The following is a 20,297-nucleotide window of genomic DNA, read 5'->3' as shown; positions in this document are numbered from 1 at the left end:
TCATCAAAAATCTTGTAGCCTTAAAAGTTTTTCCTACCATATAGCATTGGGAAATGCAGTGCTTTTTTTTAACCTTAAAAAAAAAATCTTTAAGAAATGGCTTCAATCCCTTAACCTCAACATTGATCAGTGTAAAAGACTCCAAATTATTCCACTAGGACCCCAATTAGCCAATTAGAAATGACATCATTTAACTTATCTGTACTGCCAAGATTCCGGAGTCAGAATTCAGTACTGTAGTCAGTAATGTTACTTATTGAAAAGATTATGGTCATGGTATAAACATTTTTTTCCAGGGTTATCCTCACAAATGCAAACCAGGTGTACCTGTTTTTATAGCCATTTTTCCAAAAGGATTGTCAATAAATCACTTACATCTGTCCTTTGACTCCAGGGTGGTAAATAATTAAATTATTTAAGATAAGACTGTTACATTACAGATCTCCTGATGGATGTGTGTAATACAAAAAAAAAAAAAAAAAAAAATCAAGCCTTAGTCTCATCAAGCTTCCAAATCTAGTTACCAATTTAGAGAAAATTCAAGGGTCAATGGAGCATAAGTATCTGTATGGTGGAGGCCGGGCGTGGTGGCTCAAGCCTGTAATCCCAGTACTTTAGGAGGCCAAGGCGGACGGATTACGAGGTCAGGAGATCGAGACCATCCTGGCTAACATGGTGAAACCCTGTCTCTACTAAAAATACAAAAAATTAGCTGGGCATGGTGACGGGCACCTGTAGTTCCAGCTACTCCGGAGGCTGAGGCAGGAGAATGGCGTGAACCCGGGTGGCGGAGCTTGCAGTGAGCGGAGATCGCGCCACTGCACTCCAGCCTGAGCGACAGAGCGAGCCTCCGTTTCAAAAAAAAAAAAAAAGTATCCGTATGGTGGAAATGCTACATCATGTTGCGCTACTGCACATCTCTTCCCACCTTCACATTATGTAACCTCATGCTGGTAGATTGAAACTGGCCATGGTGGGAATGCCTACACCACAAAAAATGACCAATGCTGCAGTCTAAGGTTTTTATTTCCTGAGAGCCAGTCGTTAAACATTTACCGGCATACCACTGCGTTTGTCAATTCCGAAAATGCCCGTGGCCAATACCACCCAATACAAGGAGGAGCATGCCAGAAGGGAAATTGAAAAGGAAAGGGGAAAGCCCAGATTGCAATTGGTCTTAACCAGTTGCAGTTCAAATATCTTACTTTGCAATCTTAAAAAGTCATAAGGCCACTGCTAGTGAGGGGGCCTTGAAACATAATCTTCATTAGCTTCTTGGTCTGCTTGGCTGATTCTTTCAGGTCATTCAAATCTTGTGCAAATGTCAACTCATCAGAAAAGCCTTCCATAACCATTCTAGCTAATCGCTCTCTTTGTCATTCTCTACACTTAATACTGTTTCATTTTTCTTCGGGGTGCTTACCCCTATCTATTATAACAATAAACTTTCTATTCATAATGAATGTATGCTCCATGAGCACGATTCTGTTCTGTTTTTCTCAGTGCAGTGTCCCAGCAATAAGCACAGTTCCTGGTAGGTGCTCAACAAACATGGGATGAATAAATTAAAGACCATAGGCAATGATATGGAAAGATGTGCCTACATTATTGTTGAGGAAGGAAAAGAAAACACATTATAGAAAGATAAAGAGTTGATCCTCATTATTCATTGATTCTGTTTGTTAATTCACCTACTCACTAAGCCAATTTGTAATCCCAAAAGCAACACTCATGACACTTTCTCTGTTATATACAACAATGTGCATTCCTAGCTGAGGCTGAAGAAGAAAATGACACTCTGCCTTCTTGTTTCAGCTCTCATACTGTAAACAAGTGTCCTTTTTGCAATCTATTTAGTGCCATGTTTTTGTATTTTCTTTTGCTGTTTATAATGTCCCCAAACATACTGCTGAAGTGCTATCTAGTGATTTTTGTTTTTTTTTTTTGAGATGGAGTCTCGCACTGTCTCCCAGACTGAAGTGCAGTGGTGCAATCTCAGCTCACTGCAACCTCTGCCTCCCGGGTTCATGTGATTGTCCTGCCTCAGCCTCCCAAGTAACTGGGACTACAGGTGCACACCACCACGCCCAACTAATTTTTGTATTTTTAGTAGAGACAGGGTTTCACCATGTTGGCCAGGATGGTCTCCATCTCTTGACCTCGTGATCCGCCTGCCTCTGCCTCCTAAAGTGCTGGGATTACAGGCGTGAGCCACAGCGCCTGGCCACTCTAGTGTTTTTAAGGGCACAAAGTCTGTGATGTGCCTTACAGGGAAAAGGACCATTTGTGCCATTGGAGAAAATACGTGTGTTTGATAAGCTTTTTTCAGACATGAGTTATAGTACTGTTGGCTATGAGTTCAATGTTAATGAATTAATGTTCAGTGTTGATGAATTAATGATATACACTGAATAAGCTGTCTTTAAACAGAAATACACATAGAACAAGATTATGTATTGACAAGTTGGTGATATGGTTTGGTTGTGTCCTCACCCAAAATCTCATCTTGAATTGTAGTCCCCATAATCCCCCATGCTGTTCCCGTGATAGTGAGTGAGTTCTCATGAGGTCTGATGGTTTTTTGTTTTTGTTTTTGAGATGGAGTCTCACTCTGTTGCCCAGGCTGGAGGGCAGTGGCACAATCTTAGCTCACTGCAACCTCCGCCTCCCGGGTTCAAGCAATTCTCCTGCCTCAGCCTCCCAAGTAGCTGGGATTACAGGTGCATGCCACCACACCTGGCTGATTTTTTTGTTTTTTGAGACGGAGTTTTGCTCTTGTTGCCCAGGCTGGAGTGCTATGGTGCGATCTTGGCTCACTGCAACCCCCACCTCCCGGGTTCAAGGGATTCTCCTGCTTCAGCCTCCCAAGAAGATGGGATTACAGGCATGCACCACTGTGCCTGGCTAATTTTGTATTTTTAGTAGAGATGGGTTTTCTCCACGTTGGTCAGGCTGGTCTTAAACTCCCGACCTCAGGTGATCCACCCGCCTTGGCCTCCCAAACTGTTGGGATTACAGGTGTGAGCTACTGTGCCCAGCCTACCTGGCTGATTTTTGTATTTTTAGTAGAGACAGGGTTTCACTGTGTTGGCCAGGCTGGTTTCGAACTCCTGACCTCAGGTGATCCACTTGCCTCAGCCTCCCAAAGTGTTGGGATTACAGGCGTAAGCCACTGCACCCAGCCTATCTGATGGTTTTATAAGCGCTCGGTAGTTCCTCCTGTGTTCACTTCTCTTTTCTGCCGCCTTATGAAGAAGATTCCTTGCTTCCCCTTCACCTTCCACCATTATTGTAAGTTTCCTGAGGCCTCCCCAGCCATGCTGAACTGTGTGTCAATTAAACCTCTTTTCTTTATAAATTATCCAGTCTCGGGTAGTTCTTTTTTGAGATGGAGTCTCCCTCTGTCGCCTAGGCTGGAGTGCAGTGGCGCAATCTCGGCTCACAGCAAGCTCCGCCTCCTGGGTTCACGCCATTCTCCTGCCTCAGCCTCCCAAGTAGCTGGGACTACAGGCACCCGCCACCACGCCCCGGCTAATGTTTTGTATTTTTAGTGGAGACGGGGTTTCACCGTGTTAGCCAGGATGGTCTCGATCTCCTGACCTCGTGATCCACCCACCTTGGCCTCCTGAAGTGCTGGGATTACAGGCGTGAGCCACCACGCCCGGCCTTTTTTTTTTTTTTTTTTTTAGATGGAATCTTGCTCTGTCGCCCAGGCTGGAGTGCAGTGGCACTATCTTGGCTAACTGTGAGCTCCACCTCCTGGGTTCACGCCATTCTCCTGCCTCAGCCTCCCCAGCAACTGGGACTACAGGCACATGCTGCCACGCCCAGCTAATTTTTTGTATTTTTAGTAGAGACCGGGTTTCACCGTTGTTAGCCAGGATGGTCTGGATCTCCTGACCTCCAGATCCGCCCGCCTTGGCCTCCCAAAGTGCTGGGCTTATAGGTGTGAGCCACCATGCCCGGCCAATCTCAGGTAGTTCCTTATAGCAGTATGAAAACGGACTAATACAGTGGGAAAAAAATGTAACCATAGGCTCACAGGAACCTAACTCTGTATTTCCCCTAGGAGCAATGTTTTAGTATTAACTAATTCAGTGTTCATGGCAATTTTATAAAACATAATTACTGTAAATAATGAGAATTGATTATACATAGATGTTACATTTGCTAAAATATATACATATATAATAGATATAACAGATACAGCCACAGTTATAGATAGATTTGTGTAGACATATCTATCTATTTTCTACATAGCAAAATATCTGGACGTATATAAACTATTAATAGCAGTTACCTCTGGAGAGTGGGATTAAGGACCTATTAGAACAGTTTCATTCTTTGCCATTTTTTACACTTTTATATTTTTGATAATTTTTTCAACAAGTAATTACTACTTTGCTAATTTTTCACACTAACATTTTTAACAAACTAAAACAATAAATTTTTCCTTAAAAAATAAAAACACAACCTTGCTCTCTCCCCCCCTCCACAAAAATAAATAAATATATTCATAAACTTCAGCAAGATTTAGGAAAAAGCTCATATCCTTGGACAGTTTCATTTTAAAAGAAACATCAACAAGAAAGTGCAGGCCTATAAAGAAATAAAAAGTAGACCAGATAAGTGATTGAAAGGAAAAGTAGTATGTGAAAATAACATTTTTTAACCAAATTGCTAAATCAATAATTATATAAATAAATAACAAATATATGCAGGAATGAAGCTGCCCTTAAGCTAGCATGAAAGCAAATGAAAGAGAGCATGAAGGAAAAAAAGAGAGTCTTCAGGTGTGACATGATTGTCATCAAAGAACCAAGTTGGAAAAGCAAAATAAAATACAAAAGCTTAAAAGAAACAAAAGTGTCCAATTCACAATGTAGTAAAAAGAAACAGGTTCACAGCAAAGGAGGTTTTTTGTTTTTTTTTTTTTTTTTTTTTAAGATTGGACTCTTTTCAGCATTCTACACTTAAATAACTGGAATATTTATAAGTAGAATCCTAGTCAACTCTTTCAAAACGATTGGCCCTTTAAGTGTTAAATTAAGTTTGGCCTAAAGCTGCTTCCTTACACATTTTAAGTTTGCCATAAAGGTTTCTCCATACATAGTGAACTGTTATCTAACTGGATGTGTAAACAGACTAACCTACTCTTGCACCAATCACTGAGTTTCAGCCAATCACAGGCAGCCAACTGTTCAAACTGTGTTCAAATAAGGCAAATACCAAGCTGTAACCAATTCAGCTGTTTCTGTACCTCACTTCCGTTTTCTGTCTGTCACTTTCCTTTTCTGTTCATAAATTTTTCTTCACCACCCGGCAGTGCCACAGTCTATTCCGGTTCAGGAGGCTGCCTGATTCTTGAACTGTTCTTTGCTCAATTAAATTCTGTTAAATTTAACTAGTCTAAAGTTTTTCTTTTAACATAAGAAATGTGCTTTTTATTGTCTCCAAAGAAAGAACACCATGTCCATGATGGCTTCGTTACTTTCTGTAAGAGCAGGGTATCTTTCATACAGTGTAGAGTACTGAGTAAAAGTCAGGGATTACTGCTAATTCATTCCAGGCATAAGAGACTTGGGGCATGCACAGGTAGATGAAGTAACAAGAGTTAGCACCCATTTCTAGCATAACACCTGAGAGGTAAAGGCTGTTCTCAGAGATGCAATCATTCTTCACGTTTCATAAACAGAAACCCATGAGGCAAGAAGAATTTGGGTGATATTTTTCCTCTTTCCCAGATAGCAGCAGTATAGAATAGAATAGCACTAATTGGGCCTTAAAATCGCAAAAGTTTAACTCTATTCTCCCTACCTCCTCACCCCTTCATCCTCTCACCAGCCTCAGCCTCATAAGCTCCTTTTTCTGTGGAGCTCCCTATAAGATGTTTTTGTTTTTTGTTTTTAAATAGAGACAGTGTCTCACTCTGCCACCCATGCTGAAGTGCCGTGGTGCAATCATAGCACACGGCAGCCTCAAACTCCTGGGCTCAAGCAATCCTCTCACCTCAGCCTCCCAAATAGCTGGGACTACAGGTGCCTGCCACCATGTCTGGCTAATTTTTTTACTTTTTTGTAGAGATAAGTCTTATGATGTTGCCCAGGCTGGTCTTGATCTCCTAGCATCAAGCAATCCTCCCACCTCAGTAAAGTACTGGGATTACAGGCATGAGCCACTGTGCCTGGCCAGATGTCATTTTTTAAAAGAATTCTGGGGACTAAACATTTGAACTGATGATCAGTTTATCATCAGTAACCAAGTTTAAGAAATTCTAGACAATCAAATGAACCATCTTGAAGTTTTTCCCCTGGAAGGAAAGAAGTTGGAGGAGTAAGTCTCCATTGAAAACTGCTGTAGTGTGAGGGTGTCACTTGAGAAAGCGGCCTTATAAAATGATGGATCAAGGTTTTTACCACCATAGACTTGACTGGCATACATTTCAATCATCAATGAGAAAAAGCCATATAGCTACATTTTGCCCTTTAGAGTCAAGCATACCATATCACAGAATAAGAATTAGGAATCTTCAAAAGGGAGGCTTTTCCCAAAAGGGCCACAGGTAGCATGAGTATATGTCTGCTCAATGAGCATGAAATTGTACTTTCTTTCTTTCTTTCCCAAATGCATTTTGTTTCCTTAAATAAGGCAAAAATTCACTTAAAAAAAAGAAGGCTTCCACGGCATGTATTGATCCTTTAGCATGAACATTTATATTAATGGTTAAGGATAAAATTTAAGCATTTAAGGGGAGAAAAAAAAATCAGTATGCAAGCTAATCTCATGCTAAGCCTGCAGCCCATCTAATTGAATTTTAAGTACAGTTGTGAGTTCTTCTTTCTTCCCACCTCTAGTATATTTTACTGACTGTAGAGATAATTTTTTTCACTGTATATTTAAAAGCGCATTAATAGACAACATTATTGCTCACAGACAAACTAAGAAAAGCCTACTTCTCAGGTTTTTGTTCTTCATCTTACGAAGTCTGCAAGAAAAGAAAAGGTGGACCTTCAATAAAATTTGGCCTTGATCATTTTTAGGGCAAATGAATTATAGGGAAGCCTCCTAGAAAACATCACCAATACTCAGTAAAACAAATATACTTTAGGAGCTCAAAGTTAAATTCACCTAGTGAACCAATAATAAATTTTTTTTCTAGGACTGTTTGCCTAAAGGATTTCGGCTTTGTTATTGGAACATAAGAAATCCTAGACCCTGAGAAAGGCCACTTGGCTAAGCATGGCTGATACTTTCAAATTCCCTGATTCCAGCTCCCGATAGTTTCTCAATTTAAAAATTCATCTAGTCATCTGTTTGAAACAATAAAATGATGCTCCTAGTTTCTCTAGAGTTTTTTGGCAACTGCTTAGTTGAGACATTTATCTTCCAGGTGAGAGTATTTTGGCAATAGCACCTCTTTCTTTTCCTACTGTCCTATTTGTATAAGGTCAGGTTGGCCTCTATACTGTGAGCATGAAGAGCTTAATTGGAACAATATTATTATCCTTCACAATTTACAGAAATATATTTGGCCCTCATGAACTGTCATTTTCCTCAGGGAGAATACGCTGCTTTCTTATTAAGCCTTGCGGAAAAACAGAAATAATTCTTCTGAACCCCTTGGTGTTGCCTAGGCATTCTACCATGTTGCTCTTAAGCGAAAGAACAGAAGAGACACAATGACCTTGAAACTTCATTCTAAAACAACCCCCAAAAGTGAAAACGTAGCAAAATCACTGAGTCAGTTTTGGAATTGGTAGATTTCACGGAAGAATACCTCCCATAGGACCCACGTAGAAAGGGATTTAGTTTGTAAAAAGACAGCATCCGCCCCTCACGTGATCTCCATGAATGAATCTATCTTGACCCTTTTCTTTGCAAACCCAATTCTGATGCCCTTCCCCATTCCAATGTCTTCGTCTCCCTTTTATAGAAGGATGGCACCTGTTCCAGGCAGCCACATCTGTTGCCTCTCTGTCCCTCAAAATTTTAGCCAGAAAAGCTACAACCAGAAATCTTGCCTTTTAAAGATCACAATTAATAAAACCATTGGCTTTCTAGAAAAACTCCTTTCTCGTTCAGATTCTTCTCAATCCTTTTCACATCTATTACTCACTCTCACCTCAACATCAGAATTTTTCACCACGACCCCAACTATTGCACCTTCCTTGGTTTCCCTATATTTTCCCTCAATGGTATTACTTTCCTCAGCCTTTTGTTCTTCAAATTGCCTGGCTGCTTTTCACTGCCTCTTTGTTTGCCCTGTATGCACAGAATCTCGCCAATTCTTTAAGATATCACCCAGGTTTACTTTTTTCCTCTGTGTTTCCACAGCCACTGCCCAAGGTTTGACCCTCTTTACCACATATCTTTATATTACTAGAAAATTCTAATTATTGGTACTTAACATACCTGCATCCAGCTCTTCCATCCCATCATACACCATCACACACCATGCAGCCATCTCTACCTTTCTAAAATACCTTTTTCAGTATTTTGACTTCTATTCCATCTTCTCCATAAATTTCCACCCTAGCTTAAGAACCTACCCTAAAATGGCCGGGCGTGGTGGCTCACGCCTGTAATCCCAGCACTTTGGAAGGCCGAGGCGGGCTGATCACAAGGTCAGGAGATTAAGACCATCCTGGCTAACTCGGTGAAACCCTGTCTCTACTAAAAATACAAAAAAATTAGCCGGGCATGGTGGGGGGTGCCTGTAGTCCCAGCTACTGAGGAGGCTGAGGCAGGAGAATGGCGTGAACCCAGAAGGTGGAGCTTGCAGTGAGCTGAGATCATGCCACTGCACTCCAGCCTGGGTGACAGAGCGAGACTCCATCTCAAAAAAAAAAAAAAAGAACCTACCCTAAAACAACAGCAGTGACCATGCATTAGCTGGTTACCTGCTGCAATCATCCTAGGTGCTATACAAGTTGCTTTTCATACATTATATTTAATCTTCACTATCACCCTATAAGTTTGGTGTCGTTATTACCATTTTGTAATAGAGAAAACTGAAACAAAATAAATAAGCAACTTTTCCAGGAATGACTAGAGCTCAAATTAGAATTCTCATCAGTTCGACTTCCAAACCCATGCTTTCCCCTGATTACAAAGGCCCCCAATTACCTAATGGATCTATCAAAACTCTTCCAACCTCCAGTTTAAATAGCCTCATGATGTGGCACACCTGATCTACTATATCACCACAAACCTTGTGCTCCAAAAGATGGTAGTTAAGGTCATGCAGTCTGGGTTCAGGTGCTAGCTCTGCAACTTACCAGTTCAGTGAGCTGCAACAAGTTCCTTGACCTCTCTGCACCTCAACTTTCTCATAAATCCTGATAATAGCACTCTGAGAAATGTTACATTTGTGGAGGGCATGCTCTCAGGACAAACACCAGTAAGGCAATGAGAGAAGCAAGATTGAGGAAAGAGAGAAGTTGAACGGTGAGGCAGCGGCAACAGAGGCCTCAGCTGATCCCACTAATTCCAGCTCCGAAGCTGGCGTGGCCCTGAAGAGATATTGACCAGTGATTGGATACAGGCCTGAAAAAGTCTGTAGCCTTGGACAGGCAGCTCCTCCCTGCCAAGAGCAATTTCTAGGGAAGGATTTAGCTATGAGCTGTCAGCAGACAACACTTCTGGAAATGGGAGCAATGCCTTGGGCCTATAGGGGGACACCTGTGTGACACACCACAGCATCCATTACAGTTAGCATAAGCACTATATGAATTATTACCTATAAATCACTTAGCTGGCATATTTTAGCCCAAGGTAAGTATTAGCTCTCACATCAGTTTCAATGCCTAGAAAGTTTCTTTGCTTTACCTGAAGGCTGCCTGACTAAAATTTTGAAAGAAGGGTGACAGTGTGGATTTTTGTTTATTTGTTTTAATGCCCAATGCAGCTAAACTCTGTAAATATTTATACATTTATCTGATTATGTGTTTGCTTCTGCCTATTACATAATGCTTTGGTTTGTTGTACTTTAAAGTGCTTATTTCCCTACTGTCTATCAGAGCTGAAAGCAAATACAGAAGAACAGTGTCTTCTTAACTAAATATGGTCATCAGTGAACACATGCCAGAGCAACTGCTGGTTATTTAAAGAGTATTTAAAATTAATCCACGTAGTCTTGAAAAGGAAGATGAAAATTTTTAAACAATACAAAATTGAAGGGCATACGTAAATTCCACCAGCACTAGAAATCAACAAATCCTTCAATCCTCTCAATTATCCTTTCAGTCTTCTTCTCCTGTTAGAAATATTCCTGAAGTCTTAATTTCCTCAACCTGAGCTCTAGACACCCAGCAACCAAAAAGCGTGGGGACTCTGGGGCTAATATTGCAAGGGGTGTGATATATGTATCCAGCTACCAAAAAGGTTGTACATTTGTTGGCCAAAGAATGCAAAATTTCAGCTAGATAGGAGGAAGAAATTCAAAAGATCTATTAAACAACATGGTTATCTGTAGTTAATAACAATGTATTGTATTCTCAAAAATTGCTGACAGTGAATGTTAAGTGTCCTCATCACAACAAAAATAAGCATATGAGATAATACATACGTTAATTAATTTAATTTAGCCATTCCATAATGTATACCTATTTCAAAACAGGTTGTACATGATAAATATATGCAATTTTTGTCAATTAAAAATAAATATAGAAATAAATAATAGTCTATGTCTCTCACCATATATATCATCCCCAAAAATTATATAATACTGTAATTAATAATGTATAAACTCATTTAATGACATTACTGAATAAATATATAGTTCTCTAGCATCATGAATTTCCTTAATGTTTAATATTTACAAATATTATTGGCCAGGCTCGGTGGCTCACGCCTGTAATCCCAGCACTTTGGAAGTCTGAGGCAAGCTGATCATGAGATCAGGAGTTCGAGACCCGCCTGACCAACATGGTGAAACCACATCTCTACTAAAAATACAAAAATTAGCTGGGCATGATGGCAGCCGCCTGTAATCCCAGCTACTCGGGAGGCTGAGGCAGGAGAATCGCTTGAACCTGGGAAGTGGAGGTTGCAGTGACCTGAGATCATGCCACTGCTCTCCAGCCTGGGCAACAGAGCAAGACTCCTTCTCAAAAAAAAAAAAAAGGGAAAAAAAATCACACACATTATGATAAGAAAATATTTCTATAGTCAATCACTACATTTTTTGTATTCCTTTTTATCCCTAATACAATGTATCTTTTCATCTTGAAGGCAATAGAGACACTAAGCGTCCCCATAAGGGCTAACAACAATTATCTATCTATGTATTCCTATAGTATCTCTTATACAGTAGAAAAAGCAAAATATATCATAATTTTACAAATATTTATTGCACACTTGGTTTGTTCCAGATATTGTGCCAGGTCCTAACGATATAATATTAAACTAAATATATTAGTTATCTATTTATAGGTAGCTTACAGTCTAGTAGAAAAAACAAATCATGAAAAAGAAATCTGGCTGGGCGTGGTGGCTCACGCCTGTAATCCTCAGCACTTTGGGAGGCTGAGGTGGGCACATCACTTGAGGTCGGGAGTTTGAGAGCCTGACCAACATGGAGAAACCCTGTCTCTACTAAAAATACAAAATTAGCCGGGTATGGTGGCACATGCCTCTAATCCCAGCTACTCGGGAGGCTGAGGCAGGAGAATCGCTTGAACCCCAGAAGTGGAGGTTGTGGTGAGCCAAGATTGTGCCATTGCACTCCAGCCTGGGCAACAAGAGTGAAACTCTGTCTCCAAAAAAAAAAAAAAAGAAATCTATACTTTTGATAAGTGTTGTGAAAGAAAAATAAAAGGTGTGATGAGTGATGAGTTTAGGGGAAATTGTTTCAGATTGGGTGGGCAAGAGGAGAGAGGGAGATGCTAGGAAAGGAAGCCTCCTTAAAGCTGATATCTAAAGGATGTGTGGGAGTTAATCAACAAAACTGATCAATGCAGAATTCTAGGCAGAAGCAATACCATGTGGAAGTAAATAGAGGAATCTTCAATGTTGCCATGTGCGGAGGAATAGGTCTGTTTGCAATTTATAAGAACATAATTCAGAGATAATTTTTTTTTTTTTTTGAGACAGAGTTTCACTCTTCTTGCCCAGACTGGAGTGCAATGGCACGATCTCGGCTCACTGAACCTCCACCTCCCAGGTTCAAGATTCTCCTGCCTCAGCCTCCTGAGTAGCTGGGATTACAGGCATGTGCCACCACACCCGCCTAATTTTTGTATTTTTAGTAGAGACGGGGTTTCTCCGTGTTGGCCAGGCTGGTCTTGAACGCCCAACCTCAGGTGATCCGCCCGCCTCGGCCTCCCAAAGTGCTGGGATTACAGGTGTGAACCACTGTGCCCGGCCTATGATAAATTTGATTGAAAACTTAAAATGCAAGTTTTTTAAAAATGTGCTTACTTCAGGCCGGGCGCAGTCACATGCTCTCCATCCCTTTCAAATGCCTCCTTCGTACTCTGTCCTCCTTCAAGGCCCTCCCAGGCTCTTTGACATTTGCAGGCAAAATAATCTCCCATCAGCCATCCTGTAGCTTTTGCTGAGGCTGCTATTGTAGCATTTACCATAGAGCACATCTCCAATTATATGCCACTTCCGCAGGAGGCCTCCTTTGAAGTTAATGGCCCCTTCTGGGGTTGTCTTACCTCTTTGTCCTAGCCCCTTTCCCAGGACTTGCTCCTCCTTCCTGTAATGGTCTGTCAACCTCCTCTTCTGGCTGAATCGCAAGCCTCCGGGGGGCTAACACTATCTTGCTCACCTGGTATTAACACACCTACCGTGATGGTCGATTCATAGTGGAATGCATATTTCACTGTCAAACCAAAAAGTGTGCTTTCTTATCATTGTTTTTGATAAGAAAACCTTAAAACATTTTTTAGAAGAGAAATAAGTTGAATTATACCTAAAATTAAATTAATACGCCAAAAAAAAATTTCATGTCACTTTAAAAGCAAATCCAAGTGATTCAGTATTATTTCATTTAATTTTTTACAACTCACTGTTTTTCTCAATTCAGTGAAAGTGTGTTCTCTTAAAACTCCATGTTTACATTTCAGTCAAACTTTTTAAAATTAGCAGCTCTCATCTGCTGAATCTCAAGAGACCCAGTTGTACATATGGGCCTTATGACAGATATCCCATACCTTTTTAAAAAATAATGCTAATAATGGAAACCACACTATCTCAGCATTTCCTGAGTGTTGCAACTTTGATAGTATGCTCTTTACAATGGCTTGGCATTCTAGAAGATGTTCATTTTGGGGTTTTGTTTGTTGTCTCTTCAGACATGACCTTCAGTATCAGCTCTTTCTTAATTAAACCGCTGAATAGCAAACTCAGCTTTTCCCTGGGGAACTGGAACGTTGTAATATAATCCTTCTCTGGGTCCCAACAAAAGACTGTGTCACTTGACTCCCACAGACTCCTTAGACCCCAAGTGTTTGAGTTTAAATACCGATTCCCTCACTTGTGTGAGTAGCAGAGGAACACTGAGTAAAGAAGAACAAGAAGCAGAAGTGGAGGAAGCAGAAAACAAGAGGCAGGAAACAAGAGGTCTGGAAAGGAAAAAGGTAAAACAATTTACTATAGAAAACAGCCAGGAGAAGAGAATGCCCATGAACTCGAGCCCCTTCTTTGTCAGAGGTGACCAGAGTGTCTGAAGTCCGAAAAGCCTAAGCAGTAATTTCATTACAATTTTGGCCACATTTTATAATGATCAAGTATTCCCAAGAGTCTAAGTGCCTTGCATTTTTTAGTAACTCAATTCAATTCTGATCACAGTTCTAAATATACTGGTGCATCCCATCAATACGACCCAGTGGGCCTGTACTAAAAGCAAGCCTTTCTCTTGAAGAACTCCATCCACTTTACTACATAGTAATCAACATATAGGGTAAGAAAAAAGGATAGAAATTGCTGCTGTCTGCACATTTTAGTCAGGGGAAGTTCCAAAGAAATGTATTCTAATGCCTAAGGTCACATGGCCAATCAAAGGCAATGCCAACCCCAAGAGCCATGCACCACTCTGTGGGTTCAACTTCAATGTCTTATAATAGATGACTAGTTTAAATAGAACCATTCTTTAGCCATAAAGCAAACAAAACGGGGATCTTTTGTGATGGATGTAATTTTTTTCCTTAAAAAAATACCCTTTGCAGGAGGAATATATTCACACAATAGAGTGTAGTAAAACTCTTCCTGTAAGTTTTTGAGCCATTCATTGCAGGTGTGAGCTTCTTTCACGTATAACATCTCTCTAAGCTTTCGTCTGCTGAGAGTGAAAATCTGAACCACAGGTGTACATTGTATAGTAGAGGAACCACCAGCCTCTGCTGGGGTGTTACCTAATATTTATTTGAAAAACAATTTTTAAGCCGGACGCAGTGGCTCATGCCTGTAATCCTAGCACTTTGGGAGGCCGAGATGGGCGGATCACGAGGTCAGGCGTTCAAGACCAGCCTGGCCAACATGGTGAAACCCTGTCTCTACCAAAAACACAAAAATCAGCTAGGTGTGGTGGCAGGCACCTGTAATCCCAGCTACTCGGGAGGCTGAGGCAGGAGAATCACTTGAACCTGGGAGGCAGAGGTTGCAGTGAGCTGAGATCATACCACTGCACTCCATCCTGGGTGACAAGAGCGAAACTCCCTCTAAACAACAACAACAACAAAAATTTATTGGGATTCATGCTTCATTTCATGCTTTCACTAGATCTGCATGTGAGAAAGCACAGAGTGCGATGTAAAAATTACTGCACATGAGACCGATTTTCAGCTCTGTGTTCGCCTCTGGTAAAGTAACTCAACTTCGGTATTTCAAATAGGGTCTTCTCATATCTCTAAGTTGTTCTTGGGGACCCTGAACAATACATGAGCTCCTGCTACTGTTCACAACAGCACAGCGGTGGCTTTCAAATGCAGTCATTCAGTTAAACCCAAGCACAACAATGGGAATGGTGGATCTACTCTCCAGCTGGTGTTAAATTGTGCAAGGTATTATCAAATCCTTTTCCCAAGGCTTGCATCTTCCCTTCAATTCAGTAAATTTCTCTACAGAATCCAAATACTTCAGGGTTCAACAGTTGCATGGTAAGCATTGACAATCACCCTGTACTTTCTGCAGGGCATACGCATACACAGTGCTGGTGGCTCAAAGCTTTCAGCAACTTAGACAATCTTGATTGAGTCTTGCTTACAACAATCAAGTTCAAAGATAACATTTGCCACCACCCTGAAACGCAACGTGAGAGAATTTTACTTTATAGAATCATTGAACATAAAGGGGCAGAAAAGAACCCAGAAACCTAAATCCAAATGTTTTACAAGTGAGAGAAGAGATTCTAAGAGCTAAAGTGACTTGTGCAATCTTACATCAGCAAATACTGACACAACCTGGGCCTTGACCCCTGGGGTGTCCTGGCTTCAGCCTGCCTCTCACTGTATCGTATGTCCTACACTGTAAGGTGCAGGAGTGCAGGAATTGCACCTAGTTCATTTGTCACCACATACGCAGATTCTAGCACAGTGTCTAACACATAGCACAGAGGAAAGGAAAGAAAGGAGTATTTAGCAGTTGAGTTCCAAATCTAACTCATTTTTCTGTCTTAAATATTTTAGCTTAGTTAGAGGGATCTGTGAGAATGAGATTATGGTGGAGAAAAGATAGACTCAGACAAAAGGACCACATCGGGAGTGGGTTATGAGGTTTGAAGAGAAAGAATGGGGTTGGCTTGAAATACCAGAAACTTATAACTGGAGAAAGAACATCACAGCAGGACATCTGGCCCCAAAGTATGGCTCTCTGAAGTCACATGTCTCAAAGACATTGTGTTGGTGTGAGTGTGAAGGGGACACAAGAGATCCAGGACAGAGCAGCTGACACACTCATTTTCCCTACCAAGGCAGCAGCCCAGAGCATGAGATGTGGACACTTCCCAGAGCTCTCCTCTCCACTGAGTTCTGACCCATGCTCCTCTTCTAGAAGACTTTATTCTCCATGAAGCATAGCTCAAAAAGTGACCTTTGCAGTAGTAATTTTGAATCCAGCTCCCTGGACCTCTCACAAGGATGTCAGCCAGAGCTCAACTAACGCTAGATTCTACTGCAAGATGTGAAGGGAAGCAGCGCAGGTAGAAACTCACCACTTGACGATCAAAAGCTCCTTTAATGCCTCACGCACCCTGCCAGTCTTGCCCCAGCATTGTAACAACCCCCTCCCCACCCCTCCTCCATCCTGACACTCTGTGTTTACGTTATGTAAATAATCTCACACTCCATCATGGTCTCTCACAAAGTCAGTATCTACTTTCTAGTTCAACATCTCTCCCGACTTTCATTCTAAGACATTGCAGCTGCATGTCTTCAAGGCATATCAAAAGCAAAATTTCCAAATTCCAAACGATTACAGTCAATCTTTATGATTCACAGATCCCACATTTGTGAATTTTTCTCCTTCCTAAAATTTATTTGAAAACCTGAAAATAAAAACTCACACTGTTTCCACACTCATTTCCAGACATTCAGAGAGCAGTGAAAATTTTGGGTAGTGTGTTGGTCACACATGTTCCAAGCGGGGTCAAACAAGGCAATGCTCTACTTTCTTCTTTCAGCTCTTACACAGTCAACAAGTGTCCTTTCTGCAGTCTATGTATTGCCACATTCTTCATATTTTTGTGCTTTTTGCTGGGGATTTCACTTTTTAAAATGCTATCCCCGGCCAGGTGCGGTGGCTCATGCCTGTAATCCCAGCACTTTGGGAGGCCGAGGTGGGCAGATCACCTGAGGTCAGGAATTTGAGACCAGCCTGGCCAACATGGCAAAACCCCATCTGTACTAAAAGTACAAAAATTAGCTGGGTGTGGTGGTGGGTGCCTGTAATCCCAGCTACTTGGGAGGCTGGGGCAGGAGAATTGCTTGAACCTGGGTGGCGGAGGTTGCAGTGAGCCGAGATCATGCCACTGCACTCCAGTCTGGGCTACAAGAGCAAGACTCTTGTCTAAAAAAAAAAAAAATGCTACCCCCTTGGCCAGGAGTGGTGGTGGCTCACACCTGTAATCCTAGCATAGCACTTTGGAAGGCTGAGGCGGGTTGATCACTTGAGGTCAGGAGTTCAAAACCAGCCTGGCCAACACAGTGAAACCCCGTCTCTACTAAAAATACAAAAAATTAATGGGGCATGGTGGTGCATGCCTACAATCCCAGGTATTCAGAAGGCTGAGGCAGAAGAATTGCTTGAACCCAAGAGGCAGAGGTTGCAGTGAGCCAAGATTGTGCCACTGCAGTCTAGCCTGTTCAACAGAGAGAAACTCTATCTCAAAAAACAAAAGAAAAAAAAATAAATAAATTAAATTAAATTAAATGCTATTCCCAAGCGTAGTGCTGAAATATTCTCTAGTATTCCTAAGCACATGAAGAGTGTGATGTGTCTTGCAGAGAAAATGCATGTGTTGGGTTACCTTCATTTAGGCATGAGTTATAGTATTTTTAGCTGTGACTGTGATGTTAATGAATCAACAATACATATTAAATAAGGTGTCTTTAAACAGAAACACATAAAATAAGGTTATGTATCATCAGTTGATGAAAATGTTGTGACCAGAGGCTCAAAGGAACCTAACCCTGTATTTCCCCTAGAACAGTAGTTTAATGTTCCTTAATTCAGTGTTTTAGGCAACTTTATAGAAGTAACTACAGTAAATAATGAAAATCAAACTGTAACTATCTCTTTACTCCATCTTAATTTTCCATCAGTATCCATAAGCTCCATTAATGTCCCAGAAACCTGAGAGTTATCTTAACCTTCTCCTTCTAAACACACCCCATCAGTCCTCAGCCTAAATAAACACATTCTGTCCTCATCCCCACTACCTTGAATAAGGTCCTCATTATCTAGCATGGAAATTAATCACAATGGGCTCCTAACCTGTCTTCCTTCTTCCCTCTTTTACCTTGCATTTCATCCTCTGCCCCTGTGAAGTGACTGTGACTTTCTCTGCTTAAAAACCTTACCTTTGCAATCTCACCATGCCTGAGACCACAACTCCAAATTCCCCAGGGGAAAACTTAAAGGTCCAGTGATAACAAACTGTTGGAGTTCTCTGCATTTGTCAAACTTCTCACCTCTTCTTTGCATATGTTGATCTCCCTACCTAGGATGTCTTTTCTTACTTTTTAAGTTGGGGAACACCTATTCATCTATGAGACACAATTCAACCCACACCTCCAAAATGAAACTTTCTCTGATCCCAAGAAAGAGGCAGGAGCTCCTTGCTCAGTGCTACTTCTGCCCCAGTATATAATTTTCTAATTGCCTTGGTCATATTTAAGAGTAACTGTTTACATTTTCCTACTCCTTTGCCCTACTAGACTAAGCTCATTGAGAACAAGGGCTGGCTTTTCAAGCTTGATCTCATGAGAAGTTTCCTATACTGTTTGGAAAATGGTATTCAGTAAAGGATGGTGAAAAATCAAATGTGTGAACAAATGAATGGGATGATTCCCACAGACATCACTTTGACTTTTTCTCCTGTGTCTTAGGTGAACCTCATCTTTGGCCCCAGCTCTCTACCTGCTTAAAGTCATTATAATTTAGTAACTATCCACTCAGCGAAGAGGGCAGTGGTTTCTGGGCTATTCTATAACTGCCAGGTGTTGACTATTTTAAAGCTTATGGATGAAACCAGAAAAATATTTGACCTTTTGCCCAAGACTTTGCTTTGACATGGAAACTCCCTCCCCCTTTTTTCCATTATCTACAATTTATCCTTCCTTTAGGGTCTAAACTTTTCCTTCTCCAAGGTGTCTTCCCAGCTACCCTCCCATTAACCCCAAACCTCTGACTGCTGTATTTTCTGGGCCCTGTAAGAGTGGCCTCCACCACTGGGGGAAGAGGGCAGGATAAGGGTGAGCTCCCCAGAAGGGCCCCCCCATAGAAAGTCGAATCTGGGAGTGTCTGGAATTAACTGTGAATGCTTTAACCTGAGGAAAAGAGACTGCGACTTCTCTACCCTATTTGCTTTGTTCCCCCAGGGTATCTTCACCTTGGGCAAAGGTCAGTTGTGTGTTTGTGCCCACCCTTAGGGCTGAATTCTCCCTTAGGCACATCGGAAGCACAGTACCCAGGGCCCACAATACTTTTAGGGGTTTACAACAATGTTTTCATTTTATTTAAAATCATAAGAAAAAAACTATATAATAATAACGAATATGTAAACATGAATCCAGCCTGGATTATATGATCTTACACCAATACAGTCATAAAATATGATTATCAATATTTTTATGGAGGAAGAGGCCCACAAAGGCAAAAGCAAAGCAAGTGGACCACTTACCACCAGACAAGCCACAAAAGTCATAATGCAGCGCTGACAATTGTGTGAGCTGGAATCCAGTGAGCAAGAAAATAACATTAGGAAGAAGTACAGAAAATTCCTGAACGCTAGCGCCCTATGTTTGGGAAAGAAATCCCTCTCTTTTGGGTGAGGACAAAGAAGTTCCCATATCCTACCCACCCTCCTGCCCCCACCCCAGCAACAATGCAACTCATAGAACATTCTGTGCCCTATCACATTCATTACACCTATGGGACGCATTCACTCATCAAAGATCACCCGGCTACTGAGGCATCCTCATTTCTATCGTTCAGTGGTCAAGCTCTTCTTCCCGTTCAGCGTACGTAGTACCTAGTCTGTTGAGGGTGCTTTAAAATGTTTAAAGAATGATAATGATCAATTTCTCCTATTTTTTTTTTAGCTTTTGAATCAAACATTTGGAAACATTGAATTTTCATGCTGCATTCTATGTATTAATTATGAAATAACTCTCATGATTGGAATATTCTAAATGAAGAAAACAGAAAAGGAGTTACGTCTTTCTGTTATTTTTCACCAAACACAGTACACTGGGGCTTATAAATACACTTTATCAAATCCCTCTGTGCAAGTAGTCCCGAGTGCTCCCCCTACCAACCCTGCACCATGAGAGAATGAATAAATGAATATCTAACAGGGCCCACACAATACCCACGAGATAATCGGCATTCTGAAAGTGTCTGAAGATATCATGTATGATAGACACCAAAGAGTGACCCTGTGCATTTCACTCCTGAATTACTGGTTGGCAGAAATGGCTGAGCAACACAAACAGATCTGAGAAGGACAAAACAGATAAATTCAGAAAACAGGTCAGCATGATTAGTAGATGTCAGAAATGATACTTTTCTGTCCCCCACCCCCTTCTGATTTATGCAGGACACTGTTTCTAATTTCCTTTGTTTTTCAACCC

This window comes from Homo sapiens, chromosome 6 (assembly GCF_000001405.40).
Source record: "Homo sapiens chromosome 6, GRCh38.p14 Primary Assembly".
NCBI lineage: Eukaryota > Metazoa > Chordata > Mammalia > Primates > Hominidae > Homo > Homo sapiens.
Note: the sequence above shows the minus strand (reverse complement) of the source record.